This window comes from Homo sapiens, chromosome 3 (assembly GCF_000001405.40).
Source record: "Homo sapiens chromosome 3, GRCh38.p14 Primary Assembly".
In the NCBI taxonomy this organism is placed as follows: Eukaryota; Metazoa; Chordata; class Mammalia; order Primates; family Hominidae; genus Homo; species Homo sapiens.
Genome location: NC_000003.12, coordinates 58,211,663 through 58,224,905, shown reverse-complemented (window position 1 = coordinate 58,224,905; position 13,243 = coordinate 58,211,663). Strand labels below are relative to the sequence as shown.

The following is a 13,243-nucleotide window of genomic DNA, read 5'->3' as shown; positions in this document are numbered from 1 at the left end:
GTTCTCATTTAAAGACATAGGCTGGGCCGATGCCAGTGAGCAGCTAGCATACGTTTCTTCATTCCCTGCTCTGGACCTGGCTTTTTTTTGCATCATCCCGTTTGTCTTCATCTTCACCACAGCCGTTGAATGTGTTATTACCTACACCATTTAACCACGAGGAAACAGCTTAGAGGTTAGGTAACTTGCCCAAGTCACATAGCTAGCAACTGGTAGGTAGGAAATCATCTCCAAAATTCAGTATATCACATGGGACCTGATGAGCATCTCCTGGGACTTTGCCCAAGACTTAGATTTTGCAGTCGGCCATGGAGGCTCCACTGAAGTCACGAATGATAGAACGCATGTTGGGGAAGCTTAGGAAATTTCTACTGCAAGTCTCTTCCTTAAAAAATGTGCCTCACTTTGGCTGGGCATGGTGTCTTATGCCTGTAATCCAAACACTTTGGGAGGCTGAGGTGGGCAAATCACTTGAGGTCAGGAGTTTGAGACTAGCCTGGCCAGCATGGCAAAACCCCGTCTCTACTAAAAATACAAAAAAATTAGCCAGGCATGGTGGCGTGAGCCTATAATCCCATCTACTCCGGAGGCTGAGGTGGGAGGGTGGCTTGAGCCCCAGGAGGTGGAAGTTCCAGTGAGCCAAGATCATGCCACTGCACTCCAGCCTGGGCAAGAGCGTGAGACTCCATCTAGAAAAAAAAAAAAAAAAAGAGAAATGCACCTCACTTCAGTGATGGCTGCTCCCCACTGTTGTGACTACATTTGAACACAGTGTGGTTGGGTATGATTGGGTCTCCATGGAAACAAAGCTTCCACAGACTTCTACTTCCAATCTCTGAGAATTAATTTCAAACACAGTTTCAAGACTTGATCTGCACTGCATTTTTACACATGGGCCTCTAAGGCAGTGCAGAGCAATGGATGGGAACGCAGGATTGGCTGTCAGGCCTGCCTCTGCCATTTACAGAATGAACACTTGTGACAAGCTGTTCCCTCTCTCCGGGTCCCGGTTTTACCTCTATAAAATAGGGCTATGATAGTACTTACCTCATACATTTGTTCTAAGTATTATTACATTATTAAGCAAAATAAGTGTTAGCTATTATAATTCCTCCCCACCCACCTGTTCCCCTCCTGCTGCCCCTGTTCCCAACACTGGGATGACCAATTCATCCTGGTTTGCTCAGGACTTGTTCTGATTTAGCATTGGAAGCTCAGCATCCTGGGAACCCCACTAAGGTTTGAGGGAACCAGTATGGTCAGTTGCCCTCCCCAACACTTCAGCCAGAGACATCATAATAGTCCAGATAAACTGGCGGCCAATGGAGCTCAAGATGGTTTGAGTCCAAGATTTACATTGGTAATTCAAAATCATGACAAGTTTTGTGGCCACTGGATATAGAATGATAGCTCAGAGGCACAGAAAACTCAGTGAAACCAAAGGTAAGTCCAACTAATTATTCAACTCTGGGCCCTCAAGGGCAGGAGCTGTCTTGTTCATCTTTGTATCCCCCTCTACACTTAGAAGGGTAAATTGTTAAATGAGTGAACAACAAATCCAAAAACCCACAGCGCAGGTTAGGTGCCATGGCTCACGCCTGTAATCTGAGCACTTTGGGAGGCCAAGGCAGAAGGATCACTTGAGCCCAGAAATTTGAGACCAGCCTGGGTAACATAGGGAGATACCGTCTCTATGAAAACAAAAACATCCACAGCTCAGAATGATCTCAAGTCCCAGGCCAAGAGCTGTTTCAAAAAATCTCCTGGGCTGAATTTTTTTTTTTTGAGATGGAGTCTCGCTCTTGTTGCCCAGGCTGGAGTGCAGTGGTGAGATCTTAGCTCACTGCAACCTCTGCCTCCCAGGTTCAAGTGATACTCCTGCCTCAGCCTCCTAAGTAGCTGGGACTACAGGCACGTGCCACCATGGCTGGCTGATTTTTGTATTTTTAGTAGAGACAGGGTTTCACTATGTTGGCCAGGCTGGTCTCGAACTCCTGATCTCAAGTGATCCACCTGCCTTGGCTTCCCAAAGTGCTGGGATTACAGGAGTGAGCCACCACGCCTGGCCCAGGGCTGATTTTTTAAGGTCTTATGATAGGAATGACCTTGGCCTGCATCTAAATCTGGTTCTGGAATGAAATTGGAGTAGGCTCTGCCCCTGGAGGGGGAGATCCCTTCCTGGGAATGGGATTCCTTGTAGCCTGCACGGACCTGGTGGACTGAACAAAGAGGGGGAATGCGGAAATAAAAGACAAAGACATAAGAGTATATTTGGAAGAAGGGGTCAGGGACACCTTGCCTCTAGTAGACAAGGGCCCTGAGCTTTACACAGCCTTCCGTATTTATTGGTAAAAGAGATAACGAGAAAAGGGGGTGGTGGTTGTTGGGTAATTGTCAGTCGGCCATTTGGTTCACAGCAGGCTTGCAAGACTGCATCCTTTGTATGATAGGTGCTAGATTTTTCAGTAGATAACTTCAAGGAGCCCGGCCCCCAGGGAGTGTTGGCCCTCAGCAAACCTTTCAGTGGCAGGTGCAGTGTGAGTTTGCTCACATCCTGCATTCATGATAAACAGTTTGCTGTTTGATCATATAGCGTCCAGTGGAATGCTGAGCTGGTCACAATCCCTTTGGCCTTTTTGGCTCCCAACAATTCCTGCCTGGAAAATCATTCATGAGTCACTGTGTAGTTAAGGATTTACACGTGCTCCTACCTGCACTGCAAACCTTGTCTTTAGAACTGGTGTGGTTTTAGATAGATTTATAGATAAATTTATAGATCATGCCTAATGCATGATGATTCAGGAGGGAAGCCTTCTCCCAAAGAACAACAGATGATTTTCTGGGGCCCTCTGCTCACAGCCAGGGTGTCCCCCAAGCCCTCAGGCTCCTTATGTATGTATGGGACACACAGAAGCTTTCAGAATATGGAGAGAAAGCATTTCCATTTGCTGGGAATCTGGGGTCAGGGACATGGATTGTTCTCAGTGTTCTGAGCTGGAATAGTGGCAGGGCCTTGTCACTGTTATGTGCCAGAGAAGAAATGCTATAGGAGACTGACCAGGTGGTCACACTCTGGTGTCAAACAGTCCTGGCCACGCCTCTTACCAGATGTGATGTGAGACCTGGAGAGGTGACTTGCCCTCTCTGAAGCTCAGTTTCCTCATCAGTAAAATGAAGAGAATAATAGTAGTCAGGTAGTTGTGAGGTTTAAAGGACCGAGTCCATGTAAAGATGTGTAATATGGGTCTACCACAGGTCAGAACCCACAGCCACTGTTACAGACACACCTTGGAGATATTGCAGCCTCAGCTCCATACCACTGCAATAAAGTGAGTATCACAAGGTTTTTGGTTTCTGAGTGCATATAAAAGTTATGTTGGCTAGACACAGTGGCTCACACCTTTGGGAGGCCAAGGAGGGAGGATCGCTTGAGCCCAGGAGTTTGAGACCAGCCTAGGCAACATGGCAAAACACTGCCTCTACAAAAAATACAAAAATTAGTCAGGCATGGTGATGCATGCTTGTACTCCCTGCTACTAGAGAGGCTGAGGCGGGAGGCTCGCTTGAGCCCAGGGAGTGAAGGCTGCAGTGAGCTATGAGCATGCCACTGCACTCCAGCCTGGGCAACAGAGCAAGACTATATTAAAGAAAAAAAGTTATGTCTACACTATACTGTAGTTTATTAAGTGTGCAAGAGCATTATGTCTAAAATACAATGTACCTATCTTGATTAAAAATACTTTATTGCTAAAAAATGCTAATGATCGTCTCAGGCTTCAACGAGTCATAATCTTTTTGCTGATGGAGGGGGCTTGCCTCGACATTGATGGTTGCTGATGGATCAGAGTGGTAGTTGGAGTGGCAGTGGCAGTTTCTTCAAAGAAGACAACAACGAAATTTGCCACATCGATTGACTCTTTCACAAAAGATTTCTCTACAGCACGTGATGCTGTTTGATGGCATCTTGCCCACAGTAGAACTTCTTTTGAAATTGGAGTCAATCCTCTCCAACCCTGCATTATCAACTAAGTTTATGTGATATTCTAAATCCTTTGTTGTCATTTCAAAAATGTTACAGCATCTTTACCAGGAGTAGATTTCATCTAAAGAAACCACTGTCTTTGCTCATCTGCAAGAAGCAACTCCTTATCTGTTCAAGTTTTATCAGGAGGTTGCAGCAATTCAGTCACATCTTCAGACTCCACTTCTAGTTCTTTTACTATTTACATCACATCTGTAGTGACTTTTCCCACTGAAGTCTTCAATCCCTCAAAGTAATCCATGAAGGCTGGAATTAACTCCTTCCAAACTCCTACTAATGTAAATATTTTACTTCCTCCCATGAATCACAAATGTTCTTAATGGCATCTAGAAATGCTGAATCCTCTCTAGAAGAGTTTCAATTGATGGCTCAGATCCATCAGAGGAATCACTGTCTAAGGCAGCTTTAGCCTTACAAAATGTACTTCTTAATAAGACTTCAAAGTCAAAATAATTTCTTGATCTGTGGGCTACAGAGTGAATGTTGTATTAGCAGGCATGAAAACAACATTCATCTCCTTGAACCTCTCCATCAGAGCTCTTGGGTGACCAGGTGCATTACCAGTGAGCAGTAATATTTTGAAAGGAATCCTTTTTTCTGAGCAGCAGGTCTCAAGAGTGGGCTTGAAATATTCAGTAAACTGCACTGTAAAGAGATGTACTGTCATCCAGGCTTTGTTCCATTTGTAGAGCACAGACAGCGTAGATTTAGCATAATTCTCAAAAACCCTAGGATTGGGCAGGGTGCAGTGGCTCATGCCTGTAATCTCAGCACTTTGGGAGGCCAAGGCAGATGGATCACTTGAGGTCAGGGGTTCGAGACCATCCTGGCCTGGCCAACATGGTAAAACCCCGTCTCTACTAAAAATACAAAAATTAGCCAGGGGTGATGGCGTGCACCTGTAGTCCCAGCTACTTGGGAGGCTGAGGCACGAGAATCACTTGAACCTGGAAGGCAGAGATTGCAGTGAGCCAAGATCGCACCACTGCGCTCCAGCCTGGGTGACAGAGTGAAACTCTGTCTCAAAAATAATAATAAAATAAAAAAGAACCCTAGGATTTTCAGAAAGGTCAGTGAGCACTGGCTTCAACTTAAGGTCACCAGCTCCACTCGCCCCTAACAAGAGAGCCAGCCTGTCCTTTGAAGCTTTGAAGCCAGGCATTGACTTCTCCTCTCTAACTAAAAAAGTCCTAGATGTCATCTTCTTCTAATAGAAAGCTGTTTTGTCTACGCTGAATATCTGTCGTTTGATGTAGCAGCCACCTTTATCAGTTACCTACCCTAGCTAGATCTTCTGCATATCTTGCTGCAGCTTCTCTATCAGCATTTGCTACTTCACTTTGCACTTTTATGTTATGGAGATGGTTTCTTTCCTGAAACCTCATGAACCGAACTCTGCTGATTCCAACTTTCCTTCTGCAGCTTCCTCACCTCCCTCAGCCTTTGCAGAATTGAAGACAGTTGGGGAGGATCTTGCTCTGGAATAGGCTTTGGCTTAAAGGAATGTTGTGGCTGGTTTGATCTTCCATCCAGACCATTCAAACTTTCTCCACATCAGCAATAGGCTGTTCTTCTTTCTCATCATTCATGTGTTCATTGGAGTAGCACTTTCAATTTCCTTCAAGAACTTTTCCTTTGCATTCACAACTTGGCTGTTTGGCCCAAGAGGCCTAGATTTTGGCCTGTCTTGGCTTTCTAAATGCCTTTCTTACTAAGCTTAGTCATTTCTAGCTTTTGATTTAAACTGAGAGATGTGCAACTCTTTCTTTCACTCAAACACTTAGAGGCCATTGTAGGGTTATTAATTGGCCTAATTTCAATATTGTTATGTTTCAAGGAAGAGGAAGGCCTGAGGAGAGGAAGAGAGATGGGGGAGTGACTGGTTGGTGATCACAACACACATTTATCTATTTATATGGCATGGTTCCGCAGTGCCTCCTAAATGACTACAATAGTAACAACAAAGATCACTAATCACCACAGAAGACATAATGATAATGAAAAAGTTTGAAATATTGCAAGAATTACCAAAATATGACAAAGGGACGTGAAGTAAGCCCATGCTGTTGGAAAATGATGCCAGTAGACTAGCTCGATGCAGGGTTGCCACAAACCTTCTATTTGTAAAAAATGCGATATTTGCAAAGTGCAACAAAGCAAAGCACAATAAAATAAGGCATGCCTGTATCGCTACAATTTTAATCCAACATAAGCACACTACACAGTATGTTCCAAAGGGAAAATACCCCCAAATCAAATGCAGAAAGGAGTGTCAAATAGCAAGCTCTCAATAAATGTTAGCTACTGTTATTAAGAGCTGTTAAGGCCAGGCACGGTAGCTTATGCCTGTAATCCCAGCACTTTGGGAGGCCAAGACAGGGGGATCACCTGAGGTCAGGAATTCAAGGCCAGTCTGACCAACATAACGAAACCCTGTCTCTACTAAAAATACAAAAATTATCTGGGCGTGATGGTGTGTGCCTGTAATTCCAGCTACTCAGGAGGCTGAGATAGGAGAACTGCTTGAACCTGGGAGGCGGAGGTTGCAGTCAGCTGAGATCACACCACTGCACTCCAGCCCGGGCGACAGAGTGAGACTCCATCTCAAAAAAAAAAAAAAAAAAGCTGTTAAATTATGATCGGCTTCCTGTGTCTCAGAGTCAACCTGGCCAGCATGGTGAAACCCCATCTCTTCTAAAAATACAAAAATTAGCCAGACATGGTGGCGTGCACCTGTAATCCCAGCTACTTGGGAGGCTGAGGCAGGAGAATCGCTTGAACCCAGGAGGTGGAGATTGCAGTGAGCCGAGATCACGTCACTGCACTCCAGCCTGGGCAACAGAGAGAGACTCCATCTTATAAAAAAATTAATATGTAAATATTGAAAAGTAGTGACAAAACAAATGTGGCAAAACGTTCCTTGGTAAATGTGGGTTGAGGGTATTTAAGAGTTCTTTGTGCTATTTCTGCAACTTTTATGCACATTTGAAATTATTTCAAAATAAAAAGTAAAGTATATATAAATAAGAGGAAGCTAGGAAGTGACAAAAACCATTAAAGGAAGAATAAGAAACGGTAGTTCGGCCAGCAGCCAGCTCCCTGCTGGTTCCCACGTCAGGCGCTGTGAGAAGCCCTTTGCCTCTCGGTCCTGTGTCCTCACCATGCACCCTTGTGGTCAGCCTGGAAAGGCCAACTTGATAGTTACAGGCTGCTTCAGATCTGCCACCCACGTGGTGACAAGTCCTGGCGCGTTGGCATGGGTGGTACTGAAAAAGGCTATGGATCCAGGGCAGTGCAGCGGCCAGTGGCAAGGGATGAGGCGGGGTCTCCAATGGCATCGTTTGAACTGCCTGCAACCTTTTTACCCACATGTCTCATGAAGGGATCAAGGAGAAAAGCACTGTGGTCTGGGAAAAGACTTCTAGCACTGAGATGCTGCCTTCAGGGGCAAAGATTAACCTGGCTCCCCAGAAGAGGAGCAGTGCTCATTGCCAGACAGAAGAGGGCGATGTTTTCGCCCATGTCATCCTTTGAATAGGCACCGACAGGCTTTGGCCGCCAGCTGTGCCCACTGGGTGTGGTTTCACAAATCTGCAAATTCCAAGGGCAAGATTAGGGTGAGGTTAATGAGACAGGGTCAAGTACAAGTTCAGGGGCAGATCGTGTCTTTACTTTGTTACTTTGTTCATCATGGATTTTTCTTCATTAATTTTTGATTTTTCAAAATATTGCATTGAATGTTATTTAGCTTGATTACTGAGTTATTTGGTAACTCCTTAAATTTTGTGCCTAAGGCTAGTGTCTCATTCGCCTTGCCCTAGTCCTGTCTTGACAGATCTAATCCATTAGTCGTATCGCCACCAGCTCAGAGTTTGCAATTAGGCCCTTTTGTACCTATAAAGAAAGGACTGACAAAAGGAATTAATCCTGAGGACGTAAATACCTGCTTTTTTTTTTTTTTTTTTTGAGGCAGAGTTTTACTCTGTCACCCAGCCTAGAAGACTGGAATGCAGTGGTGCAATCATAACTCACTGCAGCCTCTAAATCCTGGGCTTAAGTGATCCTCCCAACCTCCCACCTCAGCCTCCAGGGTAGCTGGGGCCAGAGGTATACACCACCATGCCTGGCTAACTTTTTTATCTTTAGTAGAGACAAGTTCTCGCTATGTTGCTCAGGCTGGTCTCGAACTCGTGGGCTCCTGCCTCGGCCTCCCAGGGTGCTCGGGTTACAGATGTGAGCCACTGCACCCAGTCAAATGCCTGCTTTTGATGTCACTTCACAGCCAGCAACTGGAGACCAACTTCTTTATCTCCGAGTCTCAATTTCTTCATCTGTAAAATGAGGATAGCAATTGCTCCTTTGCAGTTTATTCTGAAAACAGAGTATCACCCCAACTGAGTACCCCTGAGGGCCAGGCACCGTGCTGAGTCTGCCCTTTAGTTATAACCTCTCTAAATTTTCACAGCCCTACCATGTAAGAGATACTATTACCCCATGTTAAAGGTGAGGAAAAGGGCACAGAGAAGTTTGGTTATTTGTCCAGGGCTGAACAGCCAGTAAGTAAAAGTGTATATGCTTTAACGTCATCAGCATTCCCGACGTGAGATGACCCCCAAGCCCCCGGAGATATTTGGCAACATCTGTCGAAATTTTTGGTTGTCACAACTGGGGGATGTGATTGGCATCTAGTGGGTAGAGGCAGGGGATGCTGCTAAGTGTCCAATAATGCACAGGATGGTCCCCACAACAAAGTACTATCTGGCCCCAAATGTCAATCGTGCCAAGGCTGAGAAGCCTGCTCTATGCTATGCTCCCGAGTCAGAAAGTTACATGAGCACTTAGCACTTAGTGCTCCATGAAAGGTAGATACTGTTGTGGTTTTTGTTATTATTACATTTTGTCTCTATGGCTGGGGGTTCCCGTGGCTTCCAGGGAAGCTGAGTTCCCTTGGTACCACACCCACACTGTGATCAAGAACCCCGTCTCTAGGTCAAACGTGGTGGCTCACACCTGTAATCCCAACACTTTGGGAGGCCAAGGTAGGAGGATCGCCTGGGCCCTGGAATTCAAGACCAGCCGGAGCAACATGGTGGAATCCTGTCTCTACAAAAAAAACACAAAAATTAGCCAGGCATGGTGACATGCACCTGTGGTCCCACCTACTTGGGAAGCTGAGGTAGGAAGATTAGATTACTTGAGCCTGGGGGATTGAGGCTGCAGTGAGCTGAAATTGTGCCACTGCACTCCAGCCTGGGTGACAGAACGAGACCCTGTCTCAAAAAAAAAAAAAAAAAAAAAAAAAGAACTTGGTCTCTGGAGTCCATTAGAGTATCATACGTCGCATTCAGCAATGATTTATGAGCATCTGCTGCTACATGACAATCCTGTTCCAGGCAGCACAGACACACGGAGGTGCCCCCTGCCCCTATGTGGCAGCCTGGTGGAGAGACAACTTTAGACAAGGAAACACACAAGCTCAGAGATAATAAGATGTTACAATGCATGCCATGATGTGAAAAACCTGGGCACCATGAGAGAGAAGACGAGGGAAGACCCTGATGGGGTCAGGAGGCCAGGAGGGCTTCTCTGAGGGTGTGACATTTAAGCTGAGCCCTGAGGCTGGAGGAAGGAAGAGCCCTGTAGGCGGAGAGAACAGCTGTGCCAAGGCCCTGAGGGGGGAACCGAAAGCCAGGCAGTGCAAGGGCAGACCAGTAGGGGAGGAAGAGGGGAGTAGAGTGTTATGACCTGGGAAATGTGAGCAGGTAGAGGCTACATTAAGAAGTTTGCTCTTTGACCAATAAAAGCCCTGGAAAGATTTTAATCAGAGCAGGCCTGCCCTTCAGAAAGTGACTCTTGAGGTCCAGGCACAGCCCTGTGTGGAAGATAGTGTGTGAGGCTGAAACCCAGAGTGTGTCATCATCTGGAAACAACCCTGCAAAGGTGAGAGGTTTGTCATAGTTACACAACTTTAACTAATGCACCTTCCTCCCCGCAAACTCTAAGCTGGTTGTGAAACATGACGATGGAGCATTTTGCATATGTTACAAAATTATTGTTAATGCTCATTCATTTTTGGACAAAGACCAGCATCAGTCACTGGAAACACCTGTTTGGGTCACGAGGCTTGTCTTCTGCCAGGAGTGGAGACTTTCCCACAGACTTCTTGTTTCTTCTTGCTGCTTTTGGGTGACTCAGCCTATGACACTTTTGCTCCTCCTGAAATCTCCATATCTTGCTTTTCTCAAATTCCAAGGTAGCCTTTGCGCAACATATCACTCTCCACTGACTCTTGTCCCATCAGGGCCCATAGTGGATGGCTGTATGGGGGCCATGTGACTGAACTCCTGATCCTCGTTTCAGCCCACTCATGTGACATGCATGGAGCTCTTCAGCAGGGACTTACTGACCAGGACAAGAGCTTGAGACTTTGAGGGGATCTGATTGTCACTGCACAATCAAGGACAGTATTCCCAAGAGTGGATGTTGCTCAAGATAGTCCAAGGAATTCTATGAAGAAAAGGACTCCACAGACAATAAATTTTGGACACCCTGTTTCAACACAGTTAAGCGGCTTTTTATAATTACAGGACTTTTCAGAACATTTAATATGCTAATGTGCATTCTAAATCTCCAAGAAAGAATGATGCATATTTATCTTTTCTTCCAGGTGCATCTTAGAGACTGGTGTTTGCAAGTATATGGAGCAGGAAACTTCATCCCGAAGATGGAGACCCCGGGGCTGTCAGCAGGCGTTAGGCAAGTGCCTCAAAATTCCCAATTCCCAGCAAGAGAAGCCAACTGAAGGATGAGACAGGGTTTCTGCCTTCCCTGGGTCCTCCAGTATTACATGGAGGGGTTGGAGTGAACCTTCTGGAGGTGGGGTCAATGACTCTTGGAGGTAGGGGAAAGCTTCCTTTGACCAAGTTGCACACAAAGACAGAAAACGTGTTTGCATGGGCATTGTTTAACCTGCTTAAAAGAATGAAAAGATTTTAGCACTTTTTTCTTTTTCTGTAATTACTAAAGAAGTACATGTTTTTGCAAAAAAAAAAAAAAATCAAACAATATACAAGTATATAGAGTAAAAAGTGGAAGTCCTCCTTTCATCTCCTCCCTGCATCCCTCCCTGCACCCTGGAGTGTTCCATATTAAGGTTTTGGTATGCCTGGTTCAGTGGGTGAGAAGATTAATCTGGAGTCAGCACTCTGAGATTGAATCTCAGCTTTGCCACATGCTAGCTCTGTTTCCTTGGGCACAAGCCTCACTTTGCTCATCTCTAAAATAAAGTAGCCGTAGGAAGGGCTTGGCAGGTATGGGATGAGATGAAACACAGAAAGCCCTAATGCAGCACCTGAACCTAGTTGGATTCAGTTAAATTTGGCCGTTAGAATTTTCCTTCCAGAATCCAGGCATTTTTTAAAAGGTCCAATTTCATTCAATGGATGTGCTAATTCGAGAATGGGGTCCATCTCTTAATCTGTTCATGTGACTCTTTTTTAAGTCCTCAAGGGCAGTTTCTATGCAGAAACCACTATTTAGAGGTTTACTTTATTTTTTCAAGTTCATAGTCAAATTGTCAAAGCTGGAAATTAAAAAAAAGCAGATTACTTGACTTTCTTTATTCTACACATTAGCTCGTTTTTAATGCTAGGAACTAAGAACTTTTCTAGGACTTTGATGGAATGATTACTATCTTAGAAAATGCCATGCCTCCATAAATATATATGCCTACTATGTACCTGCAAAAATTAAAAATAAAAACTTTGTTAAAAGAAAAAAAAAAAGAAAATGCCATGCTTTTAAGTTCAGCTTACAAAAGTTCTCATTCTTTTTATAAATCCAGCTAGAATTTCCAGATAAAATAAAAGTTGCCCAATTGAATACGAACTACCCCAAATTCAAATCTACCTACTGTTCTATATTTTTATTTGTTAAATCTGCCAATCCTAAACCCAACAAACCTAAATAATTACTTATAAGGGGTTTGTGGCCAATTTATAAACATTTTATACTTTATTTAATATGCCCTATTTTCTTTTAAAAGTTCTTCAATTGTCTGAACTAACAAAAAAGCTACTTTTAAAAAATACTAAATCATTTGAATTCTAATAAAGTAAACAAACAAAACATTGATGATAACCTAAAGTGTTTATAAATGTTCCAGAACTGTATTCAGACAAAGGTTTCAACGTAAAGTCATGAACCTGAATCAAACCCTACCAAGTGCACATTTTATAAGAGAGTTACAAGATTTTCTATATAGTTGGCCCAGCAGCTCTCATTAAGTCCATGAAATACCGCATATTCCATCTTAAAACACACAAAAAGAGTATACCATGGCTCTGAGTCTCTTAAACATTTCTACACTTTAATTCTAAATCTTTTTTCTGGTTGGAAGATGCCCATTCACCAAGAAAGACAATTAACCATTCCCTAGAGCTCCTTTTTTTTTGTTTTTGTATTTTATTGAGATGGAATCTCACTCTGTTGCCCAGGCTGGAGTGCAGTGGTGCAATCTTGGCTCACTGCAGCCTCTGCCTCCCAAGTTCAAGCCATTCTCCTGCCTCAGCCTCCCAAGTAGCTGGGATTATAGGCGCCCACCACCACGCCTGGCTAATTTTTGTATTTTTAGTAGAGACAGGGTTTCACCATGTTGGCCAGGCTGGCCTTGAACTCCTGACCTCAAGTGATCCACCCACCTCAGCCTCCCAAAGTGCTGGGGCTACAGGAGTGAGCCACTGCGCCCGGCCCAGAGCCACCTTTACCAGAGATTCAACCAGGCCTGAGGTCTTAGGTTGCAGACAACAGGGAGATTCATTGCAGCACGAACTCAGGAAACCATTTCCTTCCATGTACTATTTGGGGTTATCTTATAGAATTCCTGGCATGCTTGGCCAGTATGCTGCCTGGATGTATGTTGGGGATATATGTATAATTTTCCCTGTGGCTGTGGCCACAGACCCATCACCACAAGAGGGGTTGGTCCACAGATCCCGATGCTGGCTTGGAGTTATTCTTATTCCCTACCCTTTTCACAGAATTGTCTTTGCCAAAGTCCATTAATATACCTTGATTGGATTTTGCTTTTTTTTTTAATTTTTTTTTGCTTTACAGATCTTCATAGTTTCCTGCCCATATCTCTAAAAGTCATTTTGCTTGAGTTGATATCCTACAGTTCTTACAAGACCTTTCTCTCCCAGG

At 44.4% G+C, this 13,243-nt stretch overlaps 1 long non-coding RNA gene across 3 annotated transcripts, besides 7 other annotated features; it reads left to right on the top strand.

The window, feature by feature from the left end:
- Nucleotides 6,797–7,299: an enhancer, noted in NCBI's record as "NANOG-H3K4me1 hESC enhancer chr3:58203334-58203836 (GRCh37/hg19 assembly coordinates)". NCBI's record gives its function as "activates a minimal SCP1, AML or CMV promoter by ChIP-STARR-seq in naive H9 embryonic stem cells {active_cell/tissue: H9 hESC(naive)}" and the evidence as "EXISTENCE:reporter gene assay evidence [ECO:0000049][PMID:30033119]".
- Nucleotides 7,282–7,461: an enhancer, noted in NCBI's record as "active region_20006". NCBI's record gives its function as "activates an Ori minimal core promoter by ATAC-STARR-seq in GM12878 lymphoblastoid cells {active_cell/tissue: GM12878}" and the evidence as "EXISTENCE:reporter gene assay evidence [ECO:0000049][PMID:35858748]".
- Nucleotides 7,282–7,803: a biological region, named in NCBI's record as "NANOG-H3K4me1 hESC enhancer GRCh37_chr3:58202830-58203333".
- Nucleotides 7,300–7,803: an enhancer, noted in NCBI's record as "NANOG-H3K4me1 hESC enhancer chr3:58202830-58203333 (GRCh37/hg19 assembly coordinates)". NCBI's record gives its function as "activates a minimal SCP1, AML or CMV promoter by ChIP-STARR-seq in naive H9 embryonic stem cells {active_cell/tissue: H9 hESC(naive)}" and the evidence as "EXISTENCE:reporter gene assay evidence [ECO:0000049][PMID:30033119]".
- Nucleotides 9,428–9,617: an enhancer, noted in NCBI's record as "active region_20005". NCBI's record gives its function as "activates an Ori minimal core promoter by ATAC-STARR-seq in GM12878 lymphoblastoid cells {active_cell/tissue: GM12878}" and the evidence as "EXISTENCE:reporter gene assay evidence [ECO:0000049][PMID:35858748]".
- LOC107986091 (uncharacterized) lies at nucleotides 9,891–11,897 on the top strand. Of its 3 annotated transcripts, none has more exons than XR_007095931.1 (3): nucleotides 9,891–9,982; nucleotides 10,403–10,604; nucleotides 10,710–11,897. It is a non-coding gene; the product is annotated as an uncharacterized LOC107986091 (long non-coding RNA). The 3 variants fall into 3 exon arrangements; XR_007095932.1 differs by having other exon boundaries at nucleotides 10,344–10,604; XR_007095930.1 differs by lacking the exon at nucleotides 9,891–9,982 and adding an exon at nucleotides 10,208–10,295.
- Nucleotides 10,058–10,117: an enhancer, noted in NCBI's record as "active region_20004". NCBI's record gives its function as "activates an Ori minimal core promoter by ATAC-STARR-seq in GM12878 lymphoblastoid cells {active_cell/tissue: GM12878}" and the evidence as "EXISTENCE:reporter gene assay evidence [ECO:0000049][PMID:35858748]".
- Nucleotides 10,308–10,357: an enhancer, noted in NCBI's record as "active region_20003". NCBI's record gives its function as "activates an Ori minimal core promoter by ATAC-STARR-seq in GM12878 lymphoblastoid cells {active_cell/tissue: GM12878}" and the evidence as "EXISTENCE:reporter gene assay evidence [ECO:0000049][PMID:35858748]".